This window comes from Homo sapiens, chromosome 7 (genome assembly GCF_000001405.40).
Source record: "Homo sapiens chromosome 7, GRCh38.p14 Primary Assembly".
NCBI classification, from domain to species: domain Eukaryota; kingdom Metazoa; phylum Chordata; class Mammalia; order Primates; family Hominidae; genus Homo; species Homo sapiens.
The window spans coordinates 125,909,141-125,925,076 of NC_000007.14; the positions used below are offsets into that span (position 1 = coordinate 125,909,141).

The window sequence follows — 15,936 nt, forward strand, 5'->3', positions numbered from 1 at the left end:
GAATCCTCTCCTGGGGTCTACATCAGGACTCTTTTCTGATAACAGCTTCATGGAATTGTCTAAGTTTTCAAGTTTCCTTCTGTATTTTAATTATGAATTTTAATATTAGTTATAATACTAATTGTTATAAACATATTCATTAGAAATACTAAGGAGTATAATTTCACAGTAGTAAATAAATCTATTTACTTACTTTGAAAAGTGGTAAAGGAACAATTAAGCTTATTGAATAGAGAACCTTAATAGTCAACATCTTGATTCAATTATTTTGCTTGCTCATTTAAATTTCTATTTGTTTTATAAAATCATGTAAGAATTTGTGACTCTAGCTAGTGCCTGAGGTTTATATTAGTCAGTTAAAATTTATGGTAGTTATATCTTTGACTATTCATTGTTTCAAATTGATTATCTATAACTTGTGAGTCATAAATTTACTGAATTATATTTTTTTAAATTATTCACATGTATTATTTGTGAGCTCCCAAATATTTTGCCATTTTGTAACAACTTGAAAATTCTTACATCTATTTAGAGCTCTTAGCTAAAAGTGAAAAGTGGCAATCTTAGAGTCATAAAGTAGGTTGCTGTGTAGAGTTAGAATATAGCACTGCAAGATTTCAACTTGTAGGACAAATTAGTAAATAAAAAAACAGAATTTCACATGTATTATATCTAATGAATATGATATCATTAATATCAACAGAAAACATACCATAATCAACAAAAAAACTGTAAGCCACATGCTTAGAAAAAGTGTTATATTAGATTTTCCATTTCCAGTATCACTGAAAGACATTGTTTAGCATTGACCTAAGCATGGTGGTTGTCAGGCCTCTGAGCCCAAGCCAAGCCATCACATCCCCTGTGACTTGCACATATATGCCCAGATGGCCTGAAGTAACTGAAGAATCACAAAAGAAGTGAATATGCCCTGCCCCACCTTAACTGATGACATTCCACCACAAAAGAAGTGTAAATGGCCGGTCCTTGCCTTAACTGTTGACATTACCTTGTGAAAGTCCTTTTCCTGGCTCATCCTGGCTCAAAAAGCACCCCCACTGAGCACCTTGTGACCCCCACTCCTGCCCGCCAGAGAACAACCCCCCTTTGACTGTAATATTCCTTTATCTACCCAAATCCTATAAAACGGCCCCACCCCTATCTCCCTTCGCTGACTCTCTTTTTGGACTCAGTCCACCTGCACCCAGGTGATTAAAAGCTTTATTGCTCACACAAAGCCTGTTTGGTGGTCTCTTCACAGGGACGTGCATGAAATTTGGTGCCGTGACTCGATCGGGGGACCTCCCTTGGGAGATCAATCCCCTGTCCTCCTGTTCTTTGCTCCATGAGAAAGATCCACCTACGACCTCAGGTCCTCAGACCGACCAGCCCAAGGAACATCTCACCAATTTTAATCAGGTAAGCGGCCTCTTCTTACTCTCTTCTCCAACCTCTCCCACTGTCCCTCAACCACTTTCTCCTTTCCACTCTTCAATCTCTCCCTTCTCTTAATTTCAATTCCTTTCATTTTATGGGAGAGACAAAGGAGACACGTTTTATCCGTGGCCCCAAAACTCCAGCGCCGGTCACGGACTGGGAAGGCAGCCTTCCCTTGGTGTTTAATCACTGCAGGGACGCCTCTCTGATTATTCACCCACGTTTCAAAGGTGTCAGACCACGCAGGGACGCCTGCCTTGGTCCTTCACCCTTAGTGGCAAGTCCCACTTTTCTGGGGGAGGGGCAAGTACCCCAACCCCTTCTCCTTCACTCTTAGTGGCAAGTCCCGCTTTTCTAGAGGAGGGGCAAGCACCCCAACCTTGTATCTCTGCCCCCCAATCCCTTATTTCCACGCCCCAACCTCTTATATCTCTGCACCCCAATCCCTTATTTCTGTGCCCCGACCCCTTATTTCCGTGCCCTGACCCCTTATTTCCATGCCTTGACCCCTTATTTCTGTGCCCCATCCCTTATTTCTGTGCCCTGACATCTTTTCTCTGCACCCCAACCCCTTTTCCCACTTTTCTCGAAGGTAAGAACTCCCGAACCCCTTCCCTCCATTTCTCTACTCTCTCTTTTCTCTAGGCTTGCTTCCTTCACTATAGGCAACCTTCCACCCTCCATTCCTCCTTCTACTCCCTTAGCCTGTGTTCTCAAAAACTTAAAGCCTCTTCAACTCATACCTGACCTAAAACCTAAATGCCTTATTTTCTTCTGCAATGCCACTTGACCCCAATACAAACTCGACAGTAGTTCCAAATAGCCAGAAAATGGCACTTTGAATTTTTCCATCCTGCAAGATCTAAATAATTATTGTCGTAAAATAGGCAAACGGTCTGAGGTGCCTGACGTCCAGGAATTCTTTTACACATCAGTCCCTTCCTAGTCTCTGTGCCCAGTGCAATTCATCCCAAATCTTCCTTCTTTCCCTCCCGCCTGTCCCCTCAGTACCAACCCAAAGCATCGCTGAGTCTTTCTAATCTTCCTTTTCTACAGACCCATCTGACCTCTCCCTTCCTCCCCAGGCTGCTCCTCGCCAGGCCGAGCTAGGTCCCAATTCTTCCTCAGCCTCTGCTCCTCCATCCTATAATCTTTTTATCACCTCCTCTCCTCACACCTGGTCCGGCTTACAGTTTTGTTCCGTGACTAGCCCTCCCCCTCCTGCCCAGCAATTTACTCTTAAACAGGTGGCTGGAGCTAAAGGCATAGTCAAAGTTAATTCTCCTTTTTCTTTATCCCAAATCAGATAGCCTTTAGGCTCTTTTTCATCAAATATAAAAATCCAGCCCAGTTCATTACTTGTTTGGAAGCAACCCTGAGACACTTTACAGCCCTAGACCCTAAAATGTCAAAAGGCCGTCTTATTCTCAAGATACATTTTATTACCCAATCTGCTCCCGACATTAAATAAAACTCCAAAAATTAAATTCCGGCCCTCAAACCCCACAACAGGATTTAATTAAACTCGACTTCAAGGTGTACAATAATAGAAAAAAGTTGCAATTCCTTGCCTCCACTGTGAGACAAACCCCAGCCACATCTCCAGCACACAAGAACTTCCAAACGCCTGAACCGCAGCGGCCAGGCATTCCTCCAGAACCTCCTCCCACAGGAACTTGCTACATGTGCCGGAAATCTGACCACTGGGCCAAGGAATGCCCGCGGCCCAGGATTCCTCCTAAGCCGTGTCCCATCTGTGTGGGACCCCACTGAAAATCAGACTGTTCAACTCACCTGGCAGCCACTCCCAGAGCCCTTGAAACTCTGGCCCAAGGCTCTCTGACTGACTCCTTCCCAGATCTTCTCGGCTTAGCAGCTGAAGACTGATGCTTCCCGATCGCCTCGGAAGCCCCCTAGACCATCACGGATGCCGAGCTTCGGGTAACTCTCACAGTGGAAGGTAAGCCCATCCCCTTCTTAATCAATACGGAGGCTACCCACTCCATATTACCTTCTTTTCAAGGGCCTGTTTCCCTTGCCTCCATAACTGTTGTTGGTATTGATGGCCAGGCTTCTAAACCTCTTAAAACTCCCCAACTCTGGTGCCAACTTAGACAGTACTCTTTTAAGCACTCCTTTTTAGTTATTCCCGCCTGCCCAGTTCCCTTATTAGGCTGAGACACTTTAACTAAATTATCTGCTTCTCTGACTATTCCTGGACTACAGCTATATCTTATTGCCTCCCTTCTTCCCAATCCAAAGCCTCCTTTGCGTCCTCCTCTTGTATCCCCCCACCTTAACCCACAAGTGTAAGATACCTCTACTCCCTCCTTGGTGACCGATCATGCACCCCTTACCATGTCATTAAAACCTAATCACCCTTACCCCACTCAAGGCCAGTATCCCATCCTGCAGCATGCTTTAAAAAGATTAAAGCCTGTTATCACTCACCTGCTACAGCATGGCCTTTTAAAGCCTATAAACTCTCCTTACAATTCCCCCATTTTACCTGTCCTAAAACCAGACAAGGCTTACAAGTTAGTTCAGGATCTGCACCTTATCAACCAAATTGTTTTGCCTATCCACCCTGTGGTGCCAAACCCATATACTCTCCTATCCTCAATACCTGCCTCTATAACCCATTATTCTGTTCTAGATCTCAAACATGCTTTCTTTACTATTCCTTTGCACCCTTAATCCCAGACTCTCTTCGCTTTCACTTGGACTGACCCTGACATCCATCAAGCTCAGCAAATTACCTAGGCTGTACTGCCGCAAAGCTTCACAGACAGCCCCCATTACTTCAATCAAGCCCAAATTTCATCCTCATCTGTTACCTATCTTGGCATAATTCTCATAAAAACACAGGTGCTCTCCCTGCCAATCGTGTCCGACTGCTCTCTCAAACCCAAGCACCTTCTACAAAACAACAACTCCTTTCCTTGCTAGGCTTGATTAGCACTGTCAGAATTCTTACACAAGAGCCAGGACCACACCCTGTAGCCTTTCTGTCCAAACAACTTGACCTTACTGTTTTAGCCTAGCCCTCATGTCCGTGTGCAGTGGCTGCCACTGCTTTAATACTTTTAGAGGCCCTCAAAATCACAAACTATGCTCAACTCACTCTCTACAGTTCTCATAACTTCCAAAATCTATTTTCTTCCTCATACCTGATACATATACTGTCTGCTCCCCGGCTCCTTCAGCTGTACTCACTCTTTGTTGAGTCTCCCACAATTACCATTGTTCCTGGCACAGACTTCAATCTGGCTTCCCACATTATTCCTAATGCCATACCTGACCCCCATGACTGTATCTCTCTGATCCACCTGACATTCACCCCATTTCCCCAAATTTCCTTCTTTCCTGTTCCTCACCCTGATCATGCTTGATTTATTGATGGCGGTTCCACCAGGCCTAATCGCCACACACCAGCAAAGGCAGGTTATACTATAGTACAAGCCACTAGCCCGCCTCTTAGAACCTCTCATTTCCTTTCCATTGTGGAAATCTATCCTCAAGGAAATAACTTCTCAGTGTTCCATCTGCTATTCTACTACTCCTCAGGGATTATTCAGGCCCCCTCCCTTCCCTACACATCAAGCTCGAGGATTTGCCCCACCCAGGACTGGCAAATTAGCTTTACTCAACATACCCTGAGTCAGATAACTGAAATACCTCTTAGTCTAGGTAGATACTTTCACTGGATAGGTAGAGGCCTTTCCTACAGGGTCTGAGAAGGCCACCACAGTCATTTCTTCCATTCTGTCAGACATAATTCCTCAGTTTAGCCTTCCCACCTCAATACAGTCTGATAACAGACCAGCCTTTATTAGTCAAATCAGCCAAGCAGTGTTTCAGGCTCTTAGTATTCAGTGAAACCTTTATATCCCTTACAGTCCTCCATCTTCAAGAAAAGTAGAATGGACTAAAGGTCTTTTAAAAACACACCTCACCAAGCTCAGCCAACAACTTAAAAAGCACTGGACAATACTTTTACCACTTTCCCTTCTCAGAATTCAGGCCTGTCCTCAGAATGCTACAGGGTACAGCCCATTTAAGCTCCTGTATAGACGATCCTTTTTATTAGGCCCCAGTCTCATTCCAGACACCAGACCAACTTAGACTGTGCCCCAAAAAACTTGTCATCCCCACTATCTTCTGTCTAGTCATACTCCTATTCACCGTTCTCAACTACTCATACATGCCCTGCTCTTGTTTACACTGCCGGTTTACACTGTTTTTCCAAGCCATCACAGCTGATACCTCCTGGTGCTATCCCCAAACTGCCACTCTTAACTCTTGAAGTAGATAAATAATCTTTGCTGGCAGGACTATGCTGAATCTCCTTAGGCACTCTCTAATCAGATATCCTGAGTTGTCCCAATTCTTAGACCTTTTATATCTGTTTTTCTCCTTCTGTTATTCCATTTAGTTTCTCAATTCATCCAAAACCATATCCAGGCCATCGCCAATCATTCTATATGACAAATGTTTCTTCTAACATCCCCACAATATCACCCCTTACCACAAGACCTCCCTTCAGCTAAATCTCTCCCACTCTAGGTTCCCACGCCGCCCCTCATCCCGCTTGAAGCAGCCCTGAGAAATATCACCCATTCTGTCTCCATACCACCCCCCAAAAATTTTCACTGCCCCAACACTTCAACACTATTTTGTTTTATTTTTCTTATTAATATAAGAAGGCAGGAATGTCAGTCCTCTGAGCCCAAGCCAAGCCATCGCATCCCCTGTGACTTGCACGTATATGCCCAGATGGCCTGAAGTAACTGAAGAATCACAAAAGAAGTGAATATGCCTTGCCCCACCTTAACTGATGACATTCCACCACAAAAGAAGTGTAAATGGCCGGTCCTTGCCTTAAGTGATGACATTACCTTGTGAAAGTCTTTTTCCTGGCTCATCCTGGCTCAAAAATCACCCCTGCTGAGCACCCTGCGACCCCCACTCCTGCCAGCCAGAGAACAACACCCCTTTGACTGTAATTTTCCTTTACCTACCCAAATCCTATAAAACGGCCCCACCCTTATCTCCCTTCCTTGACTCTCTTTTTGGACTCAGCCCACCTGCACCCAGGTGATTAAAAGCTTTATTGCTCACACAAAGCCTGTTTGGTGGTCTCTTCACAGGGAAGCGCATGAAAGTGGTGTTTACCTGTAGTCCTAGCTACTTAGAAGGCTAAGGTGGGAGGATCCCTTGAGACCAGGAGTTTGAGATTACAGTGAGCTATGATCATGAAGTGGTGATGATTATAGCTGCTCATGTGTGTCCACATTTGAAGGCTATCACTTCAATTAATCATATATGTTTTATTTTACTAATTATTTTATAGTCCTGATAATATTACTGAGTCAAAATTGTATAAACAATCACAGGGAAAAAATAAGATTTTTTGTTTTTTAAGTGTATTATTCCCATTAAAAGCATTTCCTAGAGCCCTAGAGCTGTATATATTTCACTAAAATATGCCCAATTTCAAGAAAAATATTCTGAATTACTTCTACTCGGAGTAATTTGAGATCTCTCCTTTTCATTGCTGTCTCTGCACTAAAGCATTTTAAAAGATGTGCTTTAGTGATTCGTTTTAAAGCTAGACATACACATTTGTGGATGCTATTACAATAAAAACCATGCAGAGTAACTGAGCCTTTGGCATTGACTATTTCACTTCATTACCCATCAAATTTGAGACTTCTTCCAGAAAAGCAAGAGGAAAATTTAAATCAAATTGATTTATAATAGTGACAAATGACCTTTTTTCTCCTTAAACATTTAATACTAATATTTGAAAGGAAAAGATGGAGGCATATGAGGGTTTTGATTTGCTGAGAGATGATGGTTTTTTGCATTCCTTTTGAAAGCAGGGAAAATATACAGGTTATTTTCTTTTACTGATTTAGATTAGCAGGTATATGTCTTTTACCATCTCCATGCTTTGGATGATGGTTATGGATCATGCCATTAATGCATTTAACTGCCCCCAATACACAGATCTATCTGATTATTGTAAGCATCTTGAGGCATGAGTTTGCACCCAGAAGTGCTGGTATACTTATAAAAAAGAAAAAAGAAACACACAATTTGCTTCCACATTGTGAAACACAGTCAATTTTGAATTAAGTTGCTTTATTCAGGGTTGCATACTGATTTGAAGATTCACTTCATTGTTTCTGCTGCTGTGGTTGTAACCCAATGATTACACTGAATTATCTGAATACAAAAGTAACTGGGTAGAAACTATATTAATTTCATGATTATCCACAAACTTTGCTTTTAATTAACTGTTCATCTGTTTATTCAGCAAAAGCTTGTTAGTACATACCATATGCCAGAAATGGTTAAAGGGAGAAATGCTACAACAAAAAGTAGATATGACATAATTTCTTCTCTCAAAAGCTTTTCAGTAGGAGAAAGGTGAATATAAATGAAAGCCATAAATCCTTGCATGTATTATAATATAGAAGTGTGTTAATACACATAACGGACACCTAAAACAGGCCATGGTGATTTATATTTCCAGTTTCTAAAAGGTTTTTTAAAGAATGTATTCCTAACTGTAAATAATTTTTTTTCCAAAAACTGTAGTATATGTTTTAATTTTAAAGTCATGGCCAGGCTGAGCACAGTGGCTCACACCTGTAATCCTAGCATTTTGAGAGGCCAAGGTGGGTGGATCTCAAGGTCAGGAGTTCAAGATCAGCCTGGCCAATATGGTGAAACTCCATCTCTACTAAAAATATAAAAATTAGCCAGGCATGGTGGTGGGCTCCTGTAGTCCCAGCTACTCAGGAAGCTGAGGCAGGAGAATTGCTTGAACCTGGGAGGAGGTTGCAGAGAGCCAAGATCACGCCACTTGCACTCTAGCCTGGGCGACAGAGTGAGACTCCGTCTCAAAAAAAAAAAAAATCATGGCCATATATACTTGTCAAACTTTCATTTTACTTATTCACATACTACCTGCCAGGCCTCTGAGCCCAAGCTAAGCCATCATATCCCCTGTGACCTGCACGTACACATCCAGATGGCCGGTTCCTGCCTTAACTGATGACATTCCACCACAAAAGAAGTGAAAATGGCCTGTTCCTGCCTTAACTGATGACAATGTCTTGTGAAATTCCTTCTCCTGGCTCATGCTGGCTCAAAAGCTCCCCTACTGAGCACCTTGTGACCCCCACACCTGCCCGCCAGAGAACAACCCCCCTTTGACTGTAATTTTCCTTTACCTACCCAAATCCTATAAAATGGCCCCACCCCATCTCCCTTTGCTGACTCTCTTTTTGGATTTAGCCAGCCTGCACCCAGGTGATTGAAAGCCTTATTGCTCACACAAAGCCTGTTTGGTGGTCTCTTCACATCGACGCTCATGAAATTTGGTGCCAAAACCGGGGATTGGGGGACCTCCCTTAGGAGATCAATCCCTTATCCTTCCTCCTGCTCTTTGCTCCATGAGAAAGATCCACCTATGACCTCTGGTCCTCAGACCCACCAGCCCAAGGAACATCTCACCAATTTCAAATCCGGTAAGCGGCCTCTTCTTACTCTGTTCTCCAACCTCCCTCACTATCCCTCAACCTCTTTATCCTTTCAATCTTGGTGCCACACTTCAATCTCTCCCTTCTGTTAATTTCAATTCCTTTCATTTTCTGGTAGAGACAAAAGAGACACGTTTTATCCTTGGACCCAAAACTCCGGCGCTGGTCACGGACTGGGAAGGCAGCCTTCCCTTGGTGTTTAATCATTGCAGGGACACCTCTCTGATTATTCGCCCAGGTTTCAGAGGTGTCAGACCACACAGGGACACCTGCCTTGCTCCTTCACCCTTAGTGGCAAGTCCTGCTTTTCTAAGGAAGAGGCAAGAACCCCAACCCCTTCTCTCCATGTCTCTACCCCTTCTCTGCTTTTCTGGGGGAGGGGTAAGAACCCCTCAACCCCTGCCCCTTCACCCTTAGCAGCAAGTCCCACTTTTCTAGGGGAGAGGCAGGAACCCTGACCTTTTATCTCTGCACCCCAATCCCTTATTTCCACACCCCGACCTCTTGACTCTGCACCCCGATCCCTTATTTCTATGCCCCGACCTCTTATATCTGTGCCCCAACCCCTTATTTCCACACCCCGACCTCTTATCTCTGTGCCCCAACCCCTTATTTCTGCACCCTGACCCCTTTCCTGCTTTTCTGGAAGGTAAGAACCCCCGAACCCCTTCACTCCGTGTCTCTACTCTCTTTTCTCTGGGCTTGCCTCCTTCACTATAGGCAACTTTCCACCCTCCATTCTTCCTTCTTCTCCCTTAGCCTGTGTTCTTAAAAACCTAAAACCTCTTCAACTCACACCTGACCTAAAACCTAAATGCCTTATTTTCTTCTGCAATGCTGCTTGACCCCAACACAAACTCGACAGTGGTTCCAAATAGCCAGAAAATGGCACTCTCAATTTTTCCATCCTGCAAGATCTAAATAATTCTTGTCATAAAATGGGCAAACAGTCTGAGGTGCCTGACATCCAGGCATTCTTTTACACATCAGTCCCTTCCTAGTCTGTGCCCAATGCAACTCGTCCCAATCTTCCTTCTTTCCCTCCCACCGGTCCCCTCAGTCCCAACCCCAAGTGTCGCTGAGTCTTTCTAATCTTCCTTTTCTAGAGACCCATGGGACCTCTCCCCTCCTCGCCAGGCCAAGCTAGGTCCCAATTCTTCCTCATCCTCTGCTCCTCCACCCTATAATCCTTTTATCACCTCCCCTCCTCACACCTGGTCCAGCTTACAGTTTCCTTCCGTGACTAGCCCTCCCCCACCTGCCCAGCAATTTCCTCTTAAAAAGGTGGCTAGAGCTAAAGGCATAGTCAAGGTTAATGGTCCTTTTTCTTTATCCAACCTTTCCCAAATTAGATAGTGTTTAGGCTCTTTTTCATCAAATATAAAAACACAGCCCAGTTCATGGTTCATTTGGCAGCAGCCCTGAGACGCCTTACAGCCCTAGACCCTAAAAGGTCAAAAGGCCGTCTTATTCTCAATATACATTTTATTATCCAATCTGCTCCTGACATTAAATAAAACTCCAAAAATTAAATTCTGGCCCTCAAACCCCACAACAGGACTTAATTAACCTCACCTTCAAGGTGCACAATAATAGAGTAGAGGCAGCCAAGTAGCAATGTATTTCTAAGTTGCAATTCCTTGCCTCCACTGTGAGACAAACCCCAGCCACATCTCCAGCACACAAGAACTCCAAATGCCTGAACCACAGCTGCAAGGGGTTCCTCCAGAACCTCCTCCCCCAAGAGCTTGCTACAAGTGCCAGAAATCTGGCCACTGGGCCAAGGAATGCCCACAGCCCCGGATTCCTCCTAAGCCAAGTCCCATCTGTGTGGGACCCCACTGAAAATCAGACTGTTCAACTCACCTGGCAGCCACTCCCAGAGCCCTTGGAACTCTGGCCCAAGGCTCTCTGATTCCTTCTCAGATCTTCTCGGCTTAGCAGCTGAAGACTGACACTGGCCGATTGCCTCCGAAACCTACAGGACCATCACAGATGCTCTGGGTAACTCTCACAGTGGAAGGTAAGTCCATCCCCTTCTTAGTCAATATGGAGTCTACCCACTCCACATTACCTTCTTTTCAAGGGCCTATTTCCCTTGCCTCCATAACTGTTGTAGGTATTGACGGCCAGGCTTCTAAATCTCTTAAAACTCCCCAACTCTGGTGCCAACTTAGACAACATTCTTTTATGCAATCTTTTTTAGTTATCCCCACCTGCCCAGTTCCCTTATTAGCTACAGCCACACCTCATTGCTGCCCTTTTCCCCAGTTCAAAGCCTCCTTTGCATCCTCCTCTCGTATCCCCCCCCTCGTATCCTCCCACTTTATCCCACAAGTATAAGATACCTCTACTCACTCCTTGGTGACTGATCATGCACCCCTTACAATCTCATTAAAACCTAATCACTCTTACCCCACTCAATGCCAATATCCCATCCCACAGCACGCTTTAAAAAGATTAAAGCCTGTTATCACTCGCCTGCTACAGCATGGCCTTTTAAAGCCTATAAACTCTCCTTACAATTCCCCCATTTTACCTGTCCTAAAACCAGACAAGACTTACAGGTTAGTTCAGGATCTGCACCTTATCAACCAAATTGTTTTGCCTATCCACCCTGTGGTGCCAAACCCATATACTCTCCTATCCTCAATACCTCCCTCTACAACCCATTATTCTGTTCTGGATCTCAAACATGCTTTCTTTACTATTCCTTTGCACCCTTCATCCCAGCCTCTCCGCTTTCACTTGGACTGACCCTGACACCCATTTGGCTCAGCAAATTACCTAGGCTGTACTGCCACAAGGCTTCACAGACAGCCCCCATTACTTCAATCAAGCCCAAATTTCATCCTCATCTGTTACCTATCTCGGCATAATTCTCATAAAAACACACGTGCTCTCCCTGCTGATCATGTCTGACTAATCTCCCAAACCCCAACCCCTTCTACAAAACAACAACTCCTTTCCTTCCTAGGCATGGTTAGAAACTTTCACCTTTGGATACCTGGTTTTGCCATCCTAACAAAACCATTATATAAACTCACAAAAGGAAACCTAGCTGACCCCACAGATCTTAAATCCTTTCCCCACTCCTCTTTCCATTCCTTGAGGACAGCTTTAGAGACTGCCCCGACGCTAGCTCTCCCTGACTCATCCCAACCCTTTTCATTACACACAGCCAAAGTGCAGGGCTGTGCAGTCGGAATTCTTACACAAGGACCGGGATCGTGTCCTGTAGCCTTTTTGTCCAAACAACTTGACCTTACTGTTTTAGGCTGGCCATCATGTCTCTGTGCAGCGGCTGCTGCCACCCTAATATTTTTAGAGGCCCTCAAAATCACAAACTATGCTCAACTCACTCTTTACAGCTCTCATAATTTCCAAAATCTATTTTCTTCCTCACACCTGATGCATATACTTTCTGCTCCCTGGCTCCTTCAACTGTACTCACTCTTTGTTGAGTCTCCCACAATTACCATTGTTCCTGGCCTGGACTTAAATCCGGCCTCCTACATTATTCCGGATACCACACCTGACCCTCATGACTGCATGTCTCTGATCCACCTGACGTTCACCCTATTTCCCCACATTTCCTTCTTCCCTGTTTCTCACCCTGATCACACTTGGTTTATTGATGGCAGTTCCACCAGGCCTAATCGCCACTCACCAGCAAAGGCAGGCTATGCAATAGTATCTTCCACATCTGTTATTGAGGCTACCACTCTGCCCCCCTCCACTACCTCTCAGCAAGCCGAACTAGTTGCCTTAACTCAAGCCCTCACTCTTGCGAAAGGACAATGCGTCAATATTTATACTGACTCTAAATATGCCTTCCATATTCTGCACCACCATGTGGTCGTATAGGCTGAAAGAAGTTTCCTCACTACACAAGGGTCCTCCATCATTAATGCCTCTTTAATAAAAAGTCTGCTCAAGGCCGCTTTACTTCCAAAGGAAGCTGGGGTCATTCACTGCAAAAGGCATCAAAAGGCATCAGATCCCATTGCTCTAGGCAATGCTTTTGATGATAAGGTGGCTAGACAAGCAGCTAGCTTTCCAACTTCTGTCTCTCACAGCAAGGCTTATGCTGATAAGGTGGCTAGACAAGAAGCTAGCTCTCCAACTTCTGTCCCTCACGGCCAGTTTTTCTCCTTCACATCGGTTACTCCCACCTACTCTCCCGCTGGAACTTCCACCTATCAATCTCTTCCCACACAAGGCAAATGGTTCTTAGACCAAGGAAAATATCTCCTTCCAGCCTCACGGGCCCATTCTATTCTGTCATCATTTCATAACCTCTTCCATGTAGGTTACAAGCCGCTAGCCCGTCTCTTAGAACCTCTCATTTCCTTTCCATCATGAAAGTCTATCCTCAAGGAGATCACTTCTCAGTGTTCCATCTGCTATTCTACTACTCCTCAGGGATTGTTCAGGCCCCCTCCCTTCCCTACACATTAAGCTCGGGGATTTGTCCCTGCCCGGGACTGGCAGATTGACTTTACTCACATGCCCTGAGTCAGAAAACTAAAATATCTCTTAGTCTGGGTAGACACTTTCACTGGATGGGTAGAGGCCTTTCCCACAGGGTCTGAGAAGGACACCATGGTAATTTCTTCCCTTCTGTCAGACATAATTCCTCGGTTTAGCCTTCCCACCTCTATACAGTCTGATAATGGACCAGCCTTTACTAGTCAAATCACGCAAGCAGTTTCTCAGGCTCTTGGTATTCAGTGGAACCTTCATATCCCTTACAGTCCTCAGTCTTCAGGAAAGGTAGAACGGACTAATGGTCCTTTAAAAACACACCTCACCAAGCTCAGCCACCAATTTAAAAAGGACTAGACAATACTTTTACCACTTTCCCTTCTCAGAATTCAGGCCTGTCCTCAGAATGCTACAAGGTACAGTCCATTTGAGCTCCTGTTTAGATGCTCCTTTTTATTAGGCCCCAGTCTCATTCCAGACACCATACCAACTTAGACTGTGCCCCAAAAAACTTGTCATCCCTACTATCTTCTGTCTAGTCATACTCCTATTCACCATTCTCAACTACTTATACATGCGCTGCTCTTGTTTACACTGCCGGTTTACACTGTTTTTCCAAGCCATCACAGCTGATACCTCCTGGTGCTATCCCCAAACTGCCACTCTTAACTGTTAAAGTAAATAAATAATCTTTGCTGGCAGGACTATGCTGAATCTCCTTAAGCACTCTCTAATTAGATGTCCTGGGTCCTCCCAATTCTTAGACCTTTAATACCTGCTTTTCTCCTTCTCTTATTCCGTTTAGTTTTTCAATTCACACAAAACCATATCCAGTCCACCACCAATAATTCTATACGACAAATGTTTCTTCTAACAACCCCACAATATCACCCCTTACCACAAAATCTTCCTTCAGCTTAATCTCTCCCACTCTAGGTTCCCACGCCGCCCCTAATCCCACTCGAAGCAGCCCTGAGAAACATTGCCCATTATCTCTCCATACCACCCCCAAAAATTTTCACCGTCCCAACACTTTACCACTATTTTGTTTTATTTTTCTTATTAATATAAGAAGACAGGAATGTCAGGCCTCTGAGCCCAAGCTAAGCCATCATATCCCCTGTGACCTGCACGTACACATCCAGATGGCCGGTTCCTGCCTTAACTGATGACATTCCACCACAAAAGAAGTGAAAATGGCCTGTTCCTGCCTTAACTGATGACTTTGTCTTGTGAAATTCCTTCTCCTGGATCATCCTGGCTCAAAAGCTCCCCTACTGAGCACCTTGTGACCCCCACACCTGCCCGCCAGAGAACAACCCCCCTTTGACTGTAATTTTCCTTTACCTACCCAAATCCTATAAAATGGCCCCACCCCTTTCTCCCTTCACTGACTCTCTTTTTGGATTCAGCCACCCTGCACCCAGGTGATTAAAAGCTTTATTGCTCTCACAAAGCCTGTTTGGTGGTCTCTTCACATGGAAGTGCATGAAACTACCCTATATTTAAGAGTTTGAAAAAATTAAATGATTGTATTTACAAAAGCCTACAGGTTTCTCTTCATTTACTCTCTGTCCTTCTCTCCTCTGCCAGTCCTGAGGAAGATTGACATTTGCCACACCTGCATAAAGAACCCACTTGGTGAAAACCCAAGTTTTCTTGGAGTCTGCTGCTGTGAGACACGAGGAAAAAACAGTACATGTGTACACGGTAGATCTGGAAGGGAAAGCAGAAAGTATCCAACACTTCTTGCATGAAGAAAACAAAATGTAAGTTTTTCAGTTTATGACCATGTGTTTACTTACTGCTTCCTAATTTCAACTTATTCCTTTAGATATTCACTGCACAGAAATGCTTAAGAATAACAAAACAGAATTGTTTCTGGGTTTCCAGAAACAGTATTTTCTCCCAGCTATTATAAATATGATACTTTTTGCCAATTTGCCAGGCACTGAGAAAATACTTAATCTTTTTTTTTTGTTGGTGTGGGCTGCAAAGAGAAAAATTTTGCAAATGGCATCATACTGTGTTACTAATTTCTGCTGCTAGGAATTTATATCTTTGTTTCATGAAGGATTTGAACTTTGTTCTTTTGTCCTAAGGCAAATTCATCAAACTGCACATAACATTACAAATGAAACAAACAAAAAAAAGAGTAGAAAATATTTTGGAGCACCATTTTTTGGCTGTAATTTATATAACAACTCAGATATTAAAATTAGCAAAAAGGATAAAAAGAAAAGCCAAATGCTTTACCAGGAGCATTGATTAATAAAAGCTATTATTATATTACTATATAGTAATTACAGGTCTACAGGGATAGTCCTCCATAAAATTCAAGTTTCTGTAAAAGGCATACCAGAATTCTCTGAAGTACTTTCTAATGACCCTCTAAACCAACTATTTCATTCCCACTTGGTCAGAAAATATTAAGTGAGTTGATGCTATGTAGGAAGCT

The 15,936-nt window shown here is 43.8% G+C and overlaps 4 annotated features.

The window, feature by feature from the left end:
- Nucleotides 661-1,255: an enhancer, noted in NCBI's record as "OCT4-NANOG-H3K27ac hESC enhancer chr7:125549855-125550449 (GRCh37/hg19 assembly coordinates)". NCBI's record gives its function as "activates a minimal SCP1, AML or CMV promoter by ChIP-STARR-seq in naive and primed H9 embryonic stem cells {active_cell/tissue: H9 hESC(naive and primed)}" and the evidence as "EXISTENCE:reporter gene assay evidence [ECO:0000049][PMID:30033119]".
- Nucleotides 5,870-6,457: an enhancer, noted in NCBI's record as "OCT4-NANOG-H3K27ac hESC enhancer chr7:125555064-125555651 (GRCh37/hg19 assembly coordinates)". NCBI's record gives its function as "activates a minimal SCP1, AML or CMV promoter by ChIP-STARR-seq in naive and primed H9 embryonic stem cells {active_cell/tissue: H9 hESC(naive and primed)}" and the evidence as "EXISTENCE:reporter gene assay evidence [ECO:0000049][PMID:30033119]".
- Nucleotides 6,458-7,044: an enhancer, noted in NCBI's record as "OCT4-NANOG-H3K27ac hESC enhancer chr7:125555652-125556238 (GRCh37/hg19 assembly coordinates)". NCBI's record gives its function as "activates a minimal SCP1, AML or CMV promoter by ChIP-STARR-seq in primed H9 embryonic stem cells {active_cell/tissue: H9 hESC(primed)}" and the evidence as "EXISTENCE:reporter gene assay evidence [ECO:0000049][PMID:30033119]".
- Nucleotides 14,424-15,058: an enhancer, noted in NCBI's record as "OCT4-NANOG hESC enhancer chr7:125563618-125564252 (GRCh37/hg19 assembly coordinates)". NCBI's record gives its function as "activates a minimal SCP1, AML or CMV promoter by ChIP-STARR-seq in primed H9 embryonic stem cells {active_cell/tissue: H9 hESC(primed)}" and the evidence as "EXISTENCE:reporter gene assay evidence [ECO:0000049][PMID:30033119]".